Consider the following 20,132-nt stretch of genomic DNA (forward strand, 5'->3'; position numbering starts at 1 on the left):
ACAGTTATGTCCCACTTGACTCTGGAAGTGAGTTGCTGCAGTTTGCCTACAAAGAGACTGAAGCCCAGGAAGTGACAGATGCAGGTAGTGAGAGAAGGACCAGGGTGAAAACCCTTCCCCTCACTGCCAGAGTTGTAGTGGGGAAGAGAGAGAGAGACTCTCCTCACAGCAGTCTCATCGGCAGCAAAGGCTGCACCGCGGAGGCTCCTGAGCATCTGGACCCTACCAGACACACACGTGGGCCAGCATGGACTTTGGTGTGTGTCCTTGGCAGCTGCAGGGCCCAACAAGCAGAACTGCCGACACTGAGCCCGTGCAGTGCCAGGTCATAGGTCACACCTCTAGTGACCAAGATGACCTCTCAGAAGCCCACTGACCTCCCCAGGGCAACTGAAATCCCAGGTCTTTTCCAATCCATTTTAAATCCAAACCTAAGACCATAGGAGGATATGAAGCTATAAAGGCAGAAGAGTTTTGGGCAGAGTTGAGTCCCGCTGGGTCCATGAATCCTCACTGGCGCTCTGTGCTGTGTGTCCTCAGACTTCTGTTGCCTTCCCAGAACTTGCTGGTGTGAGGCTTCAGGAAGTGTCCACAGGGCTGCCTTTACCCCACCTCCAGGTCTGGCATCTTAGGCTCCATTTTCTCCCAGGAAGTAGGTGACCCTGTCCTGAGGCAGGCTGGCCTAGACCCCTGCTAGTCCCAGGAGAAGGTTCAATTCCTTTCCCAGAGTCTTCCATCCCGTCTGCCATTAGCCCTCAGGTACTTTGTAAGAGAATCCATGGAGGATAGCGGGGCCTCTGATGTGGGCGCCAGGGAGAAGGACATGGTTTGGGAGCCCAGGGGTGCCCAGGGATAGAGTGAGCACAGAAGGAGACCAGTGTCTGTCTTGCAGTCCCTCCATTCCAGGGAGATGGGACAGCACGTGCAGAGGCACAGGGACATGAGGGACCGGCCCCTCAGTTGCCATCAGCAGCCTCGGTGGCACCTGTGTGCCATGGGGACCCGTGCATGAGCAGGGCACGGTCACTGCCCTCTGGGATGGGAAGCGTTGAGGGATACCACAGAGAGTCTGCGTGGTGTCACCCTACAAGCTCTCCACGCCGCGTGTCCCTTGTCCCTGGTGAGGGGGCACTGGAGCCAGGGTCTCTGCCACCGGCCACAGCGCTTGCAGATCTGCTGTAGGTTCCGGTGTAGCTCTTCCTGCTGTGGGCTGATGACAACAGTTGTGGGACTTGCTTCACATGGCACTGGTCTGAGACACTTGGTGGCTGACTGGGTGTTGAGGAGTGAGGGGCAGGGAGGGGCCGAGGATGAAGTTTGGGATTGGGCCTGGCCACCTGGATGGTGGCCTCGTCCTCCTGAACCTAGGGACAGGGAGCAGTTTGGGAGGACGAAGTGAGTCCTCCACTGGGTGTGTTTTTCTCTGCCTTCCCATGGGGCCCTCAGGGAGAGAAGTCCAGGGTAGTGGGCCTGAAACTCCAGAGAAAAGCTCTAACTTCACACCTAGGTGTGCAGCCCTCAGGGTTTAGAAAGTCAGTGGAGCCTTAAGTGTGGCTGCAGAGAGCCATGAATGTGAAGTCAGCGTCTGGAGCTGGCTCAGACCCCCTGCCTGGCCCCGCAGGTACTGGAGCTCCCTGCGGAACCTGGTGGTGTCCCTGCTGAACTCCATGAAGTCCATCATCAGCCTGCTCTTCTTGCTCTTCCTGTTCATTGTGGTCTTCGCCCTGCTGGGGATGCAGCTGTTTGGGGGACAGTAAGTGGGCCCGGGAGGGAGAGCTCAAGGCTGGGGGCTTGCAGGGAAGCAGAGCTCAGAGCAGACGGTGCCGCCCAGGCTGCCTCCACCCACCTTCCCACCAGGAAGGTCCTCAGAGGGGCCAGTGTGCAGCCATCTGCAGCCTGAAGCGAGCAGGTTGAGGCCACGCTGGAGCCTGCAGGCGCTGCCTCGCTGCTGACGGGACTGCCACTTCCCAAGCCTTCCTGTTTTCCTCAGGTTCAACTTCCAGGATGAGACTCCCACAACCAACTTCGACACCTTCCCTGCCGCCATCCTCACTGTCTTCCAGGTAAGGCACCTGCTCTGCACATTTGCGGCCTGCCCGGCTCCCGTCTCCCCTGGGTGCTGGGAAGGCGGACTCTCCTGTCATTCCCTCCCTTGTTCCTCCACACGGCCCAGATCACTGACTTTTCAGACACAGTGTTCCTCAAACGAGGGAAGCACAGGCAGTCAGCAACCTGCAGATCTCCAGGTCCGGGGGCCCCAGCCCCTACGGTGAAGGAAGCTGGATTCTGTGGCAGCACTGTAGGGAGCAAGTGTAGTTCCCGGGGGGCCCAGCTGGCCTTCAAGCCACCAGTGTATCTCTTAGCTCCTGAGACTTGCATGCACTTCTGTTTTTTATTCTCCGAGAACAAAAACAAAGCACTTCCTAAACTTCTCCCCCTCCTATCTCAGATCCCAGTGACCCCCTCAGTTCTCATCTGTATCTGGAAAACTACCCCCCTCAGCTCCTCGGGAAGTGGGGGCTGGGGGCCCACTTCTCTACGACGGAGACCTTGTTGGCTCATGCAGACTCTGCCCTCTTGGAGGGTTCCCTTTCGAGGACTTTCTTGGTTGGGTACTCTCCCCTTCCATAGGCTGTGGCCCCACAGTCCTGCCCATGACTGGCCTTACTGATGAGAGCATGCCTTGCATTCCTGTCCCATGAAACATACTTGGATGCCATGTCTGAGACTGAACAGGATGGTGGCTGTTGTCTTGCCTGTGATGCCTCTTACGGAGGCCCAACAGGCTGTGTTTGCTGCAGGCCAGGGGCTTGGCTTGGCTCCCTGGCTCCTGGGGCTGCTGATCCTACCCTTGGTCAGGGCTGGAGCCTACAACTTGTGTGAAGAGAGGGGCCCTTTCGGTCCCACTCTCTCGAAGGGAGGAAGTCTTACCAGCAGACCCTTCAGACCAAATTAGACGATTGGCTCAAAGAGGAGTTCTGTCCTAATTTGCACCACAGTCCTCCATGACTGTCCCCTTTCTCACATCTTCCCACTCACCCCCACCCTGCTGGGCTGGAGCCTATGACCCGTCAGCTCCTAGTCACTGCCAGGCAGAGCCAGCTCTTCTCCCAGAGGTGCATCTGCCCCAGGCCTGTCAGGGCCTTGCTGTTGTCATCCCTTCTTCCTCTCTGGTCTCATGTTTGAGTTGCTGCCTCTTCTCCTCTCCTCTTATTCCTCGAGTGGGAGGCACTTGTCAGCCTCCGACTGTCCTCCCTTTCTCTGACTTGAAAGCCTCGGCTGCTCACAGGCCAGTGACTTCCAGACTTTGGTCTCCCAGATGTTTTTGAGCTCTTAGTGGGTGACAGGACCTATGTCAGCCTCTGGGACAGAGGTGGGTGGTCTCCCAGCCACACGACGGGGAGGTCACAGGCCTGGAGCTGCCCGTAGGGTCCTGAATGTCAGGCAAGGGAAACTGGGAGGAGGCATTCCCAGCAAAGCAGCAAAAACGTGAGGAGTGTCTGGGGTGGCGACAAGGTGGCAGGTGTGGGATGGGAAACTCCAGGTGTGGGCGGGCCAGGCTGAGGCTTTGCCCTGTAGAAGCTGTTGCAGGGAGGGGCTCCATGCCAGGGGGGTGGCATGGTCCATGACCACAGCCACGCTTTGCCATGTGTGTTGCAAGAAAAGACCTGAGTGTGATGAGGGAGAGAAGTTGAAGTTGGGAGGAAAGTGGGCTTTTCTGATCAGATGATGCTCTGATTCAGACATTACATGCCCCCTGCTCTGAACACAGCAATAAGATAAAAAAAATACACTTAGAAAATAAAAGGACCTAGACAAGTAAAAACAAAATCTCTGAGGAATAGAAATGGAACAGAACATACAGTGGTGAGAGACAGCAGAGACCCAGGCACCAGGACATGGCTTGAGATAGGCAGATGGGCTTGGGAGTCTGAGTTCCATGGCAGCAGAAGTGTGCAGGTGTGGCTCAGCCCCCTCTGAGCACTGGGGGAGGTACCTGGGCCCTTTGGAGGAGGCTGAGGAGGGGTGAAGGCTTGTTGAGCTGCAGAGACCAGGAAGGCTGCAGGGCAGGGCTGACTGGTGGCTAGGTCTGTAATTCCCACAGGTGAATCTGGACCAGGGTCCTGAGATCCCAGGGTGGGAGCCCCTGCTTCTGAATGGGGTTGGGAGTGGGGCAGGGAGGGCATGTGAGGAGGAAGAAAGCAGCTTCAGCTGTGCTCATGGTGGAGCTGCAAACTGAGGGCTGGGAACAGCCAGCATCCCAGACAGTGCCAACAGCATCTACAGTCAGAAGGCGTAATCACTCCCAAAGAAAAGGAAATAACAGAACAAACACAGGTGACTTTAAACCGAATATGCCTAACATCCTCCAAGGGGTAAAGGGGGAACCAGTTAAAAACACAAAATTATGAAAAAAGGCACCTAAGAACAAAGAAAAGACCTAAACCAAATCCTAGAAATGAAATATACAGCTATTTACATTTTAGAAGCAGAGTGAACCGTACGCCGGGTGTGATCAGAGAGAGTATGGGTGAGCCGGAGGATGTGGTGGGGCTGAGCCAGCTGGGCATGGAGGCTTCCTGGAGAGAAGGAAGTGAGGGTGGGCTGGAGTGGAGGCTCCCATGTGAGGTGCGAAAGAGAGGGTGGCCAGTGCCCCTTCCGAGTGAGTCCTGGAGAACATGTGCTCAGATGATCAAGCAGGATAAACAAATAATTCCAGACCTAGACAAATTGTGATCTCAAGAAAATCTTATACGCTGCCCTAGAAAAATAGATTTCCTACAAAATAATGACAGATAGTCTGATGGCCAACGTCTTAGGAGCACAGATGCCAGAGGGTCATGGAGAAGTAACGGAAACACTGGGGTACAATCACTATTCGCCAAGAATTCTGAATCCAGACAGCTGTGGTTTAAGCGTGAGGGCAGAGCTAAAGACACTTTCAGACACAAATAGGAGTGAGTTACCACCACCCACCCAGATCATTTGAAAGCACGACAAAAGCTTATACATTTAGTAAAGTGGATGATTTAGAATAAAAAATACTAATGTATTTTTACCCAAGAAGAAATTAACTGAAGAAAAAACAGGAAATGGAACCATTTCAGAAATTGAATAATTAGGTCAGAATCGGATTAAGATGGCAGATAGGAGGAAGGACTAGCTTGCAGCTCCTGCTCGGACAGACAGAACAGCGTCTGGAGACTCACATCATGAACTTTTGCTCCAAGAACTACCACGGGAAGTTCTTGGAACTACCACAGGCAAGTTCTCAGCCCTGGGCACTGGCTGCCTGGAAATAGACTCAGTGCTGTTGGGGGTGGGCACGGTAGGAGTGAGACCAGCCTTTTGGACTGCGGGCTGCGTGGGAGTGGGGTGAGGCCTGTGACTGCTGGCTTTCTCCCACTTTCCTGGAGGACCTGTATGACTAATGGCCTTAATCCTCCTGGGAACATAACTCCATTGGACTGAGAACCACACACCCATCCCCCACAGCAGCCACAGCAAGCCCCGCCCAAGCAGAGTCTGAGCTCAGACACCCTATTCCTGCCCCCACCTGGTGGTCTTTCTCTACCCACCCTGATGGCCGAAGACAAAGGTTATAATCTCCTGGGGGCTCTGTGGTCCTGCCCACCCCCTGAGAAACCTGAATACTTAATTAGGCTACCTTAGGGCAAGTTTGCATCCTCTCTACAGGACCTCAGCTGATGCTCTCTTGAAAGCGCCACCTCCTGGCTGGAGGCCAACCAATATAAAACCAGCACACTTAACAAAAATACAGCCGAGGACCCTCACAGAGTCCACTTCACTCCCCTGCTACCCCCACCAGAGCAGGTGCTGGAGGTCAACCAATATAAAACCAGCACACTCAACAAAAATACAGCCAAGGACCCTCACAGAGTCCATTTCACTCCCCTGCTACCCCCACCAGAGCAGGTGCTGGTATCCGCACCTGAAAGACCTGAAGATGGATCACATCACAGGACTCTTGACAGACACTCCCCAGTACCAGCCTGAAGCCTGGTAGCTCCACTGGGTGGGTAGACCTGCAAGAGCAAAAACAGTCATTGCAGTTTGGCTCTCAGGAAGCCCCATTCCTCAGGGCAGGGGGAGAACACCACATCAAGGGAGCACCCCCAAGATAAGAGAACAGCAGCCCTTGAGTCGCAGATCTTCCCTCTGGTTCCAAATGAGAAGGAACCAGGAAAACAATTCTGGTAATATGACAAAACAAGGTTCTTAAACACCCCCAGAAGATCACATCAGCTTACCAGCAATGGATCCAAACCAAGAGGAAATCTCTGAATTGCCAGAAAAAGAATTCTGAAGGTCAATTATTAAGCTAATCAAGGAGGTACCAGAGAAAGGTGAAATTCAACTTAAAGAAATAAAAAACATGATACAGGTTATGAAAGGAAAATTCTTCAGTGAAATCGCATAAAAAAATCACAGTTTCTGGAAATCAGGGACACACTTAGAGGAATGCAAAATGCACTGGAAAGTCTCAGCAATAGAATCGAACAAGCTGAAGAAAGAACTTCAGAGCTCAAAGAAAAAGCTTTTGAATTAACCCTATCCATCAGAGACAGAAGAATTTCAAAAAATGAAGCCTCCAAGAAGTATGGGACTAAGTTAAGTGTCCAAACCTAAGAATAATTGGTGTTCCTGAGGAAGAAGAGAAATCTAAAAGTTAGGAAAACATATTTGAGGGAATAATTGAGGAAAACTTACCTAGCCTTGCTAGAGATCTAGACATCCAAATACAAGAACTCAAAAAACACACTTGGGAAATTCATTGCAAAATTCATTGCAGAAGAATTCATCACCTAGGCACATAGTCATCAGATTATCTGAAGTCAAGATGAAGGAAAAATCTTAAGAGCTATGAGGCAAAAATATCAGGTAACCTATAAAGGAAAACCTATCAGATTAACAGAAGATTTCTCAACAGAAACCCTACAAGCCAGAAGAGATTGATTAGGGTCCTATCTTTAGTCTCCTTAAACAAAACAATTATCAGCCAAGAATTTTGTGTCCAGTGAAACTAAGCCTCATAAATGAAGGAATGATACAGTCTTTTACAGGCAAACAAATGCTGAGAGAATTCGCCACTACCAAGCCAGCACTATAAGAACTGCTAAAAGGAGCTCTAAGTCTTGAAAAAAATCTTCGAAATACACCAAAATAGAACCTCCTTAAGACACAAATCCAACAGAACCTCTATAACAATAACAATGAAAAAAACAGCATGGTATTCAGGCAACAAATAGCACAATGAATAGGATAGTATCTCACATCTCAATATTAATGTTGAATGTAAATGACCTAAATGCTCCACTTAAAAGATAGAGAATGGCAGAATGGATAAGAATTCACCAACCATGTTTCTGCTGTCTTCGGGAGACTCACCTAACACATAAGGACTTACATAAACTTAAAGGGGTGGAAAAATATTTCATGTGCAAATGGAGACTAAAAGCGAGCAGGAATAGCCATTCTTTTATCAGACAAAACAGACTTTAGAGCAACAGCACTTAAAAAAGACAAAGAGGGACATTATATAATGATAAAAAGCCTTGTCCAACAGGAAAATATCATAATCCTAAATGTATATGCACCTAACACTGAAGCTCTGAAATTTATAAAACAATTACTACTAGACCTAAGAAATGATATAGACGGCAACACAGTAATAGCGGGGGACTTTGATACTCCACTGACAGCACTAGACAGGTCCTCAAGACAGAAAGTCAACAAAGAAGGAATGAACTTAAACTATACCCTACAACAAATGGACTTAACAGGTATTTACAGAGCATTCTACCCAACAACTGCAGAATATACATTCTATTCATCAGCACATGGAACATTCTCTAAGATGGACCATATGATAGGCCACAAAACAAGTCTCGGGAAATTTAAAAAAATCTAAATTTGGAGCTTGCAGTGAGCCGAGATCCGGCCACTGCACTCCAGCCTGGGCGACAGAGCGAGACTCCGTCTCAAAAAAAAAAAAAAAAAATCTATATTATATCAAGTACTCTCTCAGACGATAGTGGAATAAAATTGGAAATCAACTCCAAAGGCACCCACAAAACCAGGCAAATACAGGGAAATTAAGCAACCTGCTCCTGAATGATTTTTGGGTTAACAATGAAATCAAGATGCAAATTTAAAAAAATCTTTGAACTGAACGATAATAGTGACACAACCTATCAAAACCTCTGGGATACAGCAAAGGCAGTGCTAAGAGGAAAGTTCATAGCCTTAAATGCCTACATCAGAAAGACTGAAAGAGCACAAATAGACAATCTAAAGTCCCATCTCACACAACTGAAGAAACAAGAACAATCCAAACCCAAACCCACCAGAAGAAGAGAAGTAATGAAAATCAGAGCGGAACTAAATGAAATTGAAACAAAAAAAATTACAAAAGATAAATTGAACAAAAAGCTGGTTCTTTTTAGATAAATAAAAAGATAAATTTTTTTAGTTAAAATTTTTATTTTATCTATCTAGATAGATAAAATTTAAATTTTTGTCTATCTAGATTAAATTTTTGTCTAGATAGATTAAATTTTTATTTTGTCTGTCTAGATGGATAAAATTTTTATTTTGTCTATCTAGATAGATAAAATTGATAGACCATTGGTGAGATTAACCAATAAAATAAGGGAGAAGATCCAAATATAAGCTCAATTAGAAATGAAATGGGAGATATTACTACTGGTACCACAGAAATACAAAAGATTATTCGAAGCTACTATGAACACCTTTATTTATGCACATAAACTAGAAAACCTAGAGGAGATGGATAAATTCCTGAAAAGGTACAACCATCCTAGCTTAAATCAGGGAGAATTAGATACCCTGAACAGACCAGTAACGAGTAGCGAGATTGAAATGGTAATAAAAAAATTACGAACAAAATAAAGTCCAGGACCAGATGAATTCAGAGCAAAATTCTATCAGACATTCAAAGAAGAATTGGTACCAATCCTATCGACACTATTCCACAAGGTAGAGAAAGAGGGAATTCTCCCTAAATCATTCTATAAGCCAATATCACCCTAATACCAAAACCAGGGAAGGACATAACCAAGAAAGAAAACTACAGACCAATATCCCTGATGAACATAGATGCAGAAATCCTCAACAAAATACTAGCTAACTGAATCCAACAGCAAATTAAAAAGATAATCCACCGTGATCAAGTGGGTTTCATATCAGGGATGCAGGGATGGTTTAACATATGCAAGTCAATAAATGTGATAACACCACATAAACAGAATTAAAAACCAAAATCACACAATCATCTCAATAGATGCAGAAAAAGCATTCAACAGAATCCAGCATCATTTTATGATTAAGTCCTCAGCAAAATCAGCATACACGAGACATACCTTAATGTAATAAAAGCCACCTGTGACAAACCCACAGCCAACATAATACTGAACCAGTAAAAGTTTGAAAGTATTCTCCCAAGAACTGGAATAAGACAAGGATGCCCACTGTCACCACTCTCTTCAGCAAAGTACTGGAAGTCCTAACCAGAGCAATCAGACAAGAGAAAGAAAGAAAGGGCATCCAAATCGGTAAAGAGGAAGTCAAACTGTCACTGTTTGTTTGCCGATGATATGATTATTTATGTTGAAAACCCCAAAGACTTTTCCAAAAAGCTCCTAGAACTGATAAAAGAATTCAGCAAGGTTTCAAGATACAAAATTAATGTACACAAATCAGTAGCTCTTTTGCTCTTTTATACATTAACAGCGATCAAGCTGAGAATCAAATAAAGAACTCAACCCCTTTTACAGTAGCTGCACAAAATAAAATAAATACTTAGGAATATACCTAACCAAGGAGGTGAAAGAGCTCTACAAGGGAAACGACAAAACACTGCTGAAAGAAATCATAGACGACACAAACAAATGGAAACACATCCCATGTTCATGTATGGGTAGAATCAATATTGTGAAAATGACTATACTGCCAAAAGCAATCTACAAATTCAATGCAATTCCCATCAAAATACCACTATCATTCTTCACAGAACTAGAAAAAACAATCCTAAAATTCAGATGGAACCAACAAAGAGCCTGCATAGCCAAAGCAAGACTAAGCAAAAAAGGCCAGGTGCAGTGGCTCTTGCCTGTAATCCCAGCACTTTGGAAGGCCAAGGCGGGCAGATTACCTGAGGTCAGGAGTTTGAGACCAGCCTGACCAACATGATGAAACCCCAACCCTACTTAAAAAAGTACACAAATTAGCCAGGTGCGGTGGCTTGTGCCTGTAATCCCAGCTACTTGGAAGGCTGAGGCAGAAGAATCACTTAAACTCAGGAGGTGAAAGTTGCAGTGAACCAAGATCGCGCCATCCATTGCACTCCAGTCTGGGTGACAAGAGTGAGACTCCGTCTCAAAAAAAAAAAAAAAACAAAATCAGCAAAAAGAACAAAGCTGGAGGCATCACATTACCCAACTTCAAACTACGATATAAGGTCATAGTCACCAAAACACCATGGTACTGGTATAAAAATAGGTACATAGACCAATGGAAAAGAATAGAGAACCCAGAAATCAACCCAAATACTTACAGCCAACTGATCTTTGACAAAATAAACAAAAACATAAAGTGGGGAAAGGACACCCTATTCAACAAATGGTGCTGGGATAATTGGCAAGCCACAGGTAGGAGAATGAAACTGGATCCTCATCTCTCACCTTATACAAAAATCAACTCAAGATGGTCAAAGACTTAACCTAAGAGCTGAAACCATAACAATTATAAAGATAACATCAGAAAAAATCCTTCTAGACATTGGCTAGGCAAAGACTTCTTGACCAAGAACCCAAAAGCAAATGCAACAAAAACAAAGATAAATATATGAGACTTAATTAAACTACAAAGCTTCTGCACAGCAAAAGAAATAATCAATAAACAGACATCCCACAAAGTGGGAGAAAATTTTCACAATCAATACATCTGACAAAGGACTAATATCCAGAATCTGCAAAGAACTCAAATCAGCAAGAAAAAAACAAACAATCTCATTAAAAAGAGGGCTAAGGACATGAATAGACAGTTCTCGAAAGAAGATATACAAAAGCATATGGAAAAATGCTTAACATCACTGTCAGGGGAATGCAAATAAAAACCACAGTGTGATACCACCTCACTCCTGCAAGAATGCCCATAATAAATGAAAAATAATAGATGTTGGTGTGGATGTGGTGAAAAGGGAACACTTTTACACTGTTAGTGAGAATGTGAATTAATACAACCACTATGGAAAACATTGTGGAGTTTCCTTAAAGAACTAAAAGTATATCTACCACCATTTGATCAGCAATCCCACTTCTAGATATCTACTCAGAGGAAAAGAAGTCATTATATGAAAAAGGATACTTGCACATGCATGTTTATAGCAGCACAATTTGGAATTGCAAAAATATGGAACCAACCCAGATGCCTATTGGTCAACGAGTGGATGAAGAAAACGTAGTGTATACCAGTATACTATAGAATACTACTCAGCCCTAAAAAGAGTGAAATAATGGCATTTGCAACAACGTGGATGGAATCGGAGGCTACTATTGTAAGTGAAGTAAGTCAGGAATGGAAACCCAAACATTGTGTGTTCTCACTCATAAGTGGGAGCTGAGTTATGAGGATGCAAAGGCATAAGAATGATACAATGGACTTTAGGGACTCGAGGGAAAGGGTGGGAGGGGGACGAGGAATAAAAAACTACAGCGTATGCTGCTTGGGTGATGGGTGCACCAAAATCTCAGAGATAATCACTAAAGAACTTAGTCATATAAGCAAACACCACCTGTTCTCCCAAAATCTATCGAAATAAAAAATAAATTTTAAAAAATTTAATAATTAAAAATCTCCTGCTCAAGTTACCAAGTTCAGATAGTATGATATGTGAATTCTGCTATTTAAGAAATTATTCCAATTTTATACAGACTCCTCCGCAGAATATAAAAAAGGATAGCTCGCCACTCATTGTATGAAACTAGAGTAGCCTTGATAATGAAAAAAACTAAACAAGGACACTATCAGAAAAGAAAAATACAGATCACTTCTGCAAATACAGATCACTTCTGCAAACACAGAAGCAAAGCATCTGGGGGAAACCATCATTAATCAAATCTAGATATTCTTAAAAATTATTTTTATAATTGACTAGAACTTTTCCTAGAAATGCAAGATAATTCAACATTAGAAAACCTATGAATGTAATTTGTCACACTAACAGATTAAGGTGGATACAAACCCTGTATGATCAGAGAAAGCACTGGAACTGTAGCACAAGCACAGTCAGCCAGAGGTGAGAGGAGCGGAGATAAGATTGCAGAGTTGCCGATGGCTGAAACTGGATGGGCATGTAGGGCTCATTGTACTCCACTCTGTGTATGCTTCAAATGTCCGTGATAATTTTTTTTTAAGTAAGACCTAACACTCCTTCCAAATAAAAATGCTTAGCAGATTACAGTAGTATCAGGGGTCTTAGCACAGTAGAACAAGAAAAAATGAAATAAAAATTGTCGGGATTGACAAGAAAGAAAACTGTCATTATTTACAGATGAAATATTTATACACAGAAAACTCAAGTCCTGTCATGCAGATAGTATTTACATAGAAAAACATGAAATTGGATTCCTACCTTGTACCAAGTGTGAAAATCAATTCTAGATAAATTAAAAGACAAATGATGTAGTATGAAAGGACAAAGGATAAAAACAAGTAACTCACAGGAGAAGAAACTATGATCAATTTTACTGCAGTCAGGGAAATGCAAATTAAACCCTCAATGAAACAACCATTTCCACCTGTCAGTTTAGCCAAAATTAAGAGATCTAACAATATTAAGATTTAGAGAAGAAGTGGAGAAATTAGTGTTTCTTTATGCTGTTGGTGGGTTGGTAGAACCACTCTGAAGGGTAATTCATTATATCCCATCCACTGGAATTGGCACGAGCAGTTCCTGCCAGGTATAGTTTTTTGCCCAAGTGCACAAGGAAACATGTAAAGCCATCCTAGCAGCATTATTTGTAATAACAAAAAACTGAAAATCACCTGCATGTTCACCATCAGGGAAATGGATAAGAGAAGTGTGATCTGTTTGTGCAGAAGGGAAAATGAGTGCCTTAGAACTAAATGTATTTATAGCGTATGATACTATTTAAGGATGAACAATGTGCAAAACAATGTCATATACTGTTTATGATATGGATGTAGTAAACGTATAAAAGCTTGCACAGGAATGATTAGCACCAAATTCAGGACACAGTTTTCCTGGTGGTGGGGTGGGGGTTGCTGGGAGGTGGGGAGAGGGAGAGGAATGAGACTGGGGAGTTCTGGCCACATTCTGATGTTTTATTTCTTAAGCTGGGTAGTGGGTACACAGAGGTTTGTTAAATTATTCATTGCATCTTTCGGAGTGTTTAAAATATTGTGTAATTGAAAAATAAAGGGATACGAAAAGATGAACTAACTAAACATTGACCAAAAGAAAGCCAGTGTAGGCCGGGCACGGTGGCTCATGCCTGTAATCCCAGCACTTTGGGAGGCCGAGGTGGGCAGATCACTTGAGGTCAGGCGTTCGAGACCAGCTGGCCTACATGGTGAAACCCCATCTTTACTAAAAATACGTAAAATTAGCTGGGTGTGCTGGTGCTGAGGTGGGAGAATCGCCTGAACCTGGGAGGCAGAGGTTGCAGTGAGCTGAGATCACGCCACTGCACTCCAGCCTGGGCGACAGAGCGAGACTCCGTCTCAAAAAACAAAACAAAACAAAAGAAAGCTCATGTATTAATATCAGCCAAAATAGAGGTGAAGGTAAAAAGAGGACGGATGAGAATAAAGAGGCATATTACATGATGAAAAGAGGACGCCTCCAGAAGGAAAACACTGCAGGGCATGAACTTGCAGGACCTAACAACCTGGCCTCAGAACATTGACCAAAAACAGGCAGAATTACAAGGAGAAATAAAAACTTTACCATCTTATAAGAGATTTATAACATGTCTCTGTCAAACTGCAGGATGAAACTGACAAAAGATTAGAAAGGATCTAAAAACATGAACCAGTTGTCACATACAGAACTGTACCCAACAGATAGTGAATAGAATATTCATTATTTGGGGCACTTGGAACATTTGCAGACTTTGACCATTTATTAGGTCACTCAGGAAACTTCAACAAGTATTAATTACTGTCCAGCTGGGCACAGTTCCTCACTCCTGTAATCCCAGCGCTTTGGGAGGCCGAAGTGGGCAGATCACCTGAGGTCAGGAATTCAAGACCAGCCTGGCGTGGTGAAACCAAAATGGCGAGACCCCGTATCTACTGAAAATACAAAATTTAGCCAGGTGTGGTGGTGGGTGCTACTGTACTCCAGCTTGGGTGACAGAGTGAGACTCCAACTAAAAAAAATAAAAAATAAAAAATGAATATTGCTGTCCTGCAGAGCACAACTTTGATATCATTTAGATAAGCAGGCACCGTTAATGAAAAGTCATTTAATATCTTTCCCATATTTGTAAGTTGAAGGATTTGGGAGTAAAGAGGAAATCAGAAATCACGATGGCCATTACAGAATATTTAGAACTGAACAGTATCAACACTTGTAAGAGGAATCCGAAACAACACTTAAAGAAAAACTTATAATCTTAATGCAGTTATCAGAAAAAAAAAAGGATAAAAAATAAACAAGTACTCTTAAAAAAAAAAGTGTCTTGCCCTGTCACCCAGGCTGGAGTGCATTAGTGTAATCATAGCTCACTGCAGCCTCGAACTGGGTTCAAGTGGTCCTCCCACCTCAGTCTCCCAAGTAGCTGGGGCCATAGGCACACACCACCATGCCCAGCTAATTTCTATTTTTTGTAGAGACGTGGTCTCACAATGTTGCCCAGGCTGGTCTCAAACTCAGTGGGCTCAAGCGATCCTCCCACCTCAGCCTCCCAAAGTGCTGGTAATGCAGGCATGAGCCACAGAGCCTGGCTTAACAAGTACTTATATGAAAAATCTAGAAGAAGGAATAATAAACCAAAGAAAAATTGAAAGCAGATGATGCTAAGAGTAGACATTTGTTGTACAGATCACTGAAACACCAAGATAACAAGCATGTTCATGAAGTAGATAATTGTACAGCGACTGATCAAGGGAAAAAAGCACAAACAAAAAATGTAACCCAAAAGGGAGTCGTAACTATAGGAAAATGAGATTTTTTTTTAATTCCAAAAGAATACTTTGGCAACTTTATGCCATGAGATTGGAAAGCGTAGATGAAACATGCTTTTTTTTTTTTTTTGAGATGGAGTCTCGCTCTGTCGCCCAGGCTGGAGTGCAGTGGTGCGATCTCGGCTCACTGCAAGCTCCGCCTCCCGGGTTCACGCCATTCTCCTGCCTCAGCCTCCCGAGTGGCTGGGACTACAGGCGCCCGCCACTACGCCCGGCTAATTTTTTGTATTTTTAGTAGAGACAGGGTTTCACCGTGTTAGCCAGGATGGTCTCGATCTCCTGACCTCGTGATCAGCCCGCCTTGGCCTCCCAAAGTGCTGGGATTACAGACATGAGCCACCGTGCCTGGCCAAAACATGCATTTTTATAGGAAGACATTAAGTGGATTAAATTAGCTCAAGAAGAAATTTTGAAAACCTGGACATTTCATAATTATAAAAGAAATTTAACAGACAGTCAAAGTTCTCTTCCTATCTTTCTGCCTCCTGCCTGGGGCCCAGTCATTATAAGGCGAGTTTCACCAAGCCTTTCAAGAAGAAATAATAACTATTTGACTCAAACAATTTCAGAGAAGGGATGAAATCATTTCATGAGGCTAGTACAACCTTGACACCAAAGCCATGCAAGGACAATTTAAGACAAAATGCAGACCAGAACGCAAGCTCCATGGGGCAGGGTCTTTGTTTTATCCACTGACCATCCTAAGCACCTGAATATCGCCCAACACGGCAGGTACGCTAATGTCTCCCCAGTGAAAGTAGATTCATTCAAATCTCATGGCATAAAGCTTCCATAATATTCTTCTGTAATTAAAAAAATCTCTTTTTCCTATGTTATGACCCCCCTTTCGTGTTACAATTTTTATTTGTGCTTTTTTTCCCTTGGTCAGTCTTGCTATACAATTATCTACTTCATGTGTCTCCTTAAAAATATGCTTTTTACAGTCTTGTTATTTTGGTGTTTTTTTATCTGCATCACAAATGTCTGCAAATAATCTAAAATCTATTAAAAAATCAAATCAGCTGCATATATTAAAAAAGAACCTAATAGCTAAACTGTGTTCATTCTAGTAATACAAGAAATACAAATAATACAGGAAATTGTCAGTATAATTCCTAATCTCTACAGGTTAAAAGAGAACATGTGTCATAGATGCAGAAAAGTGAAACATTGATAAAAATAAACTTTAATTCATGATAAAAAAAAGTCATACTAAGAATTGACAGGAGTTTAAAAAAATCTGGTAAAGAGTATCTACAAAAACCCTACAACCAGGATGGGTGATAGCTAATGGGTATGAGTTTCTTTTTTTGAAGGGATGAAAATGTTCTAAAATGGACTGTGATAATGGTGACACATATTTGTGAGTATACTAAAAACTATTGTATACACTTTAAATGGGCGAATTATATCCCAATAATGCTGTTATTTAAAAGAGACCATAGCAAGGATCATAGATAATAGTAAAAGATTAGAAGTATTGTTAAAAGGAAAATAAGGATGCCTACTATTCAAGCAGTCGAAGCTAATGTCGTAAGAAAAAAGAAAGAAGTAAAAAGACTGAAAAGGAATAGAAAAAAACTATTATTATTTGCAAATGTGATTATTTACTATAGAAAATCCTAGATAATATATTAGATATAATAAGAAAATTCATCAGTATTGCTGAACATAGGATAAATGTACAAAAATATAGCTTTTCTATATAATAAATAACATTATTCAATTAGAAAATTCAATTTAAAAGAAAGGTCTCATTCACAGTAGTAACAAAACTTCCAGGTACCCAGAAATAAATCTAACTAAAATTGTGCAAGACTTTTGTTGCAGTAATTATGAAATGTCATTCAAGGCCTTAAGGAGCTGTATGTGTGCAGAGAGATGTTTATAAGTAGGAAGCCTTAAAATGGTGAAGGTGTCAGTTCTCCCCAATTTAATTTATGAATCAACGCAATCCTGATCCAAATTCCAATGGGACTGTTCTTGGAATTCAGCATATTGATTATATGGAAGAGTAAAAGTCCAAGAAAAGACAATTCAGGAAGAAGAAATTTGTCCTACCATATATCATGACTTTTTATAAAGCTATGGTAATGAAAATAGTGTGGTATATGTAAAAATGAAATATCAAAAGAACAGACCAGAGAACCTGGAAACATTCCAAACATATATAGAAAGTTGGTTATATGAGAAAGATGTCATTGGAAATCAATGGAGGAAGGATGGACTATTCAAAAATTTGGGTCTGGGAAAATTGGCTTTCCGTATGAAAAAAATTGGATCATCATCTCCATGCATGCACAAAACTTCAGTTGGATTAGAAACCTAAATGTAAAAAATCAAACTTGAAAATGATTTAAAGATGATTTAAAGAGTAAGAGGCCAGGCATGGTGGCTCATGCCTATAATCCCAGTGCTTTGGGAGGCTGAGGTGGGAGTATCGCTTGAGGCTCTTAAGTTCAAGGTCAGCCTGGGCAACATAATGAAAGCCCATATCCAAAAAAAAAAAAAAAAAAAATAGCTGATGGTGCACCTCTGCAGTCCCAGCTACGTGGGAGACTGAGACAGGAGAATTACTTGAGGCCAGGAGTTTGAGGTTATAATGAGCTAGGATCGTGCCACTGCGGCCTGGGCAACAGAGCAAGACCCAGTCTTTAGAAGAAAAGAAAGAAAAAAATATATATTATGAAAATATCTTTATGATCTTGGATGGAGAGAAATTTCTTCTCTTTTCTTTTCTTTTCTTTTTTCTTTTCTTTTCTTTTCTTTTTTGAAATGGAATCTAGCTCTGTTGCCCAGGCTGGAGTGCAGTGGTGTGATCTTGGTTCACTGTAACCTCCGCCTCCCGGGTTCAAGCGATTTTTCTGCCTCAGCCTCCCGAATAGCTGGGATTACAGGCACCTGCCACCATGCCCAGCTAATTTTTGTATTTTTAGTAGACAGGGTTTCACTGTGTTGGCCAGGCTGGTCTTGAACTCCTGACCTTGTGATCCGTCCACCTTGGCCTCCAAAGTGCTGGGATTACAAACGTGAGCCACTGTGCCTGGCCCAAATTTCTTTTTTTTAATGGAGATGGGGTCTTGCGATTGTGCCACTGCACTCCAGCCTTGGCAATAGAGCAAGACCCCATCTCCAAATTTCTTTTTTTTTTAAATGGAGATGGGGTCTTGCTCTATTGCCAAGGCTGGAGTACAGTGGCATGATCATAGCTCACACAACTGGCTCAAGTGATCCTCCTGCCTCAGCCTTCTGAGTAGCTGGGACTACAGGTGCGCACTACCACACCTAGCTCATTAAAAAAATTTTTTTGTAGACAGGGTCTCACTATGTTGCCCAGGCTGGTCTCTATCTCCAAAGTGTTGGGATTACAGGTGTGAGCCACCACTCCTGGCCGTGTGTGTTTGTAGTGAAAATATCTTTATGACCTTGGATGGAGAGGAATTTCTTAAGATGCAAAAAGCAGAAAACATAAAGGAATAGACTGATAAGACTGATATTTAATTACATTAAACTTTTTTAATACAAAAATAAAAGCAAACAGGAGACTAAAGATATTTACAATAGATAATGCAAATAGAGTATTAGTATATACAAGAATACATAAGCAAGTCTCAAAAGTCAGTAAGAAAAAGATGAGTCATCAGAAATAGGAGCTGGGGGGTTGAAAGGCAGGGCACAGAAGAGATCTAAGGGCCCCTGGGCAGGAGAAATGATCAAACTCACGGGCTTGCCTTTTTTTTTTTTTTTTTTTTTTTTGTAGAAATGGGGTCCCACTATGTCGCCCAGGCTGGTGTCGAACTCCTGGGGTCAAGTGATCCTCCCACCTTGGCCTCCCAAAGCGCTAGGACTACAGACGTGAGCCACCACGCCTGGCCAGTGCTTTTAAGCCCTTTCACGTTTATCAGATTGGGAACTGTCAAAGGGCGTGACAGTGCCATGGGTGGTGTGAGGATGTGATGAAGAACCATCCTCTGCTGCTGGCGGGAATATGATTTGGGATAACCATTTTGGAAACATCTAGTGAAGTCGGCGAAGGTGTGCATAGCCTACATACCTGGCAGCTGCAGTTCTGGAGAAACTTCACATGTGCACAAGGGGACACGGCAGCAAAAACCCGGAAGCCACTAAAAGTACCTGTGAGAAGGAAAATAGGTAAATGGAAGGAAAACTGTGTGATGGTTTACACAAATAAGTAGATTTATATGTATCAACATGGAGAGCCGGGTGCAGTGGCTCACCCTGGTAATCTCAGCACTGCAGGAGGCTGAGGGGGGGCTGATTGCTTGAGCCCAGGGGTTCAAGACCAGCCTGGGCAACATGGCAAAACCCCATCTCTACTAAAAAATACAAAAAATTAGCTGGGCATGGTGGCACCTGCCTGTGGACCCAGTTACTCAGGAGGCTGAGGTGTGAGGATTGATTGGGCCCAGAAAGCAGAAGTTGCAGTGGGCCAAGATCACACCACTGCACTCCGGCCTGGGAAACAGAACAAGACCCTGTCTCAAAAAAAAAAAAAAAAAAAATGGAGAAACCTCAAAGCTGTATTGTTGAATGAAAACAGCAAGTTGAAGAATGATGTGTAGTCTGGTACCTTCCTGTGCATGTTTAGCACGTATGCAGTATTCTGTTTATACATACGTGTATGTGTGTGATGTGTAGTGGAACCCTAAAGACTTGGATCCATTCATCCAACAAGGGACTACTATCCACAATATACAAGGAACTCAAACAACTCAACAGCAAAAAAAACAAATAATCACATTTAAAAGTGGGCAAAGGCTCTGAATAGACATTTCTCAAAAGAAGACATACAAATGGCCAACAGATGTATGAAAAAATACTCAACATCACTAATCATCAGGCGAAGACAAATCCAA

The 20,132-nt window shown here is 43.3% G+C and overlaps 1 protein-coding gene across 2 annotated transcripts in view, besides 1 other annotated feature; it reads left to right on the plus strand.

Annotated features, from left to right (window-relative positions):
- Positions 1-20,132, plus strand: part of CACNA1B (calcium voltage-gated channel subunit alpha1 B) — a 246,838-nt gene that overhangs the window by 107,010 nt on the left and 119,696 nt on the right. For both annotated transcript variants that reach the window (NM_000718.4, NM_001243812.2), the window contains exons 14-15: positions 1,622-1,753; positions 1,991-2,063. In NM_000718.4, the coding sequence (NP_000709.1) occupies positions 1,622-1,753; positions 1,991-2,063 (205 nt within the window). The remainder of the gene's footprint in view (positions 1-1,621; positions 1,754-1,990; positions 2,064-20,132) is intronic.
- Positions 5,180-6,379: an enhancer, noted in NCBI's record as "CDK7 strongly-dependent group 2 enhancer chr9:140884423-140885622 (GRCh37/hg19 assembly coordinates)". NCBI's record gives its function as "activates an origin of replication core promoter dependent on BRD2, BRD4, P300/CBP, MED14 and CDK7 cofactors, with strong dependence on CDK7, by STARR-seq in HCT116 cells {active_cell/tissue: HCT116}" and the evidence as "EXISTENCE:reporter gene assay evidence [ECO:0000049][PMID:35650434]".

Source organism: Homo sapiens, chromosome 9 (assembly GCF_000001405.40).
Source record: "Homo sapiens chromosome 9, GRCh38.p14 Primary Assembly".
NCBI lineage: Eukaryota > Metazoa > Chordata > Mammalia > Primates > Hominidae > Homo > Homo sapiens.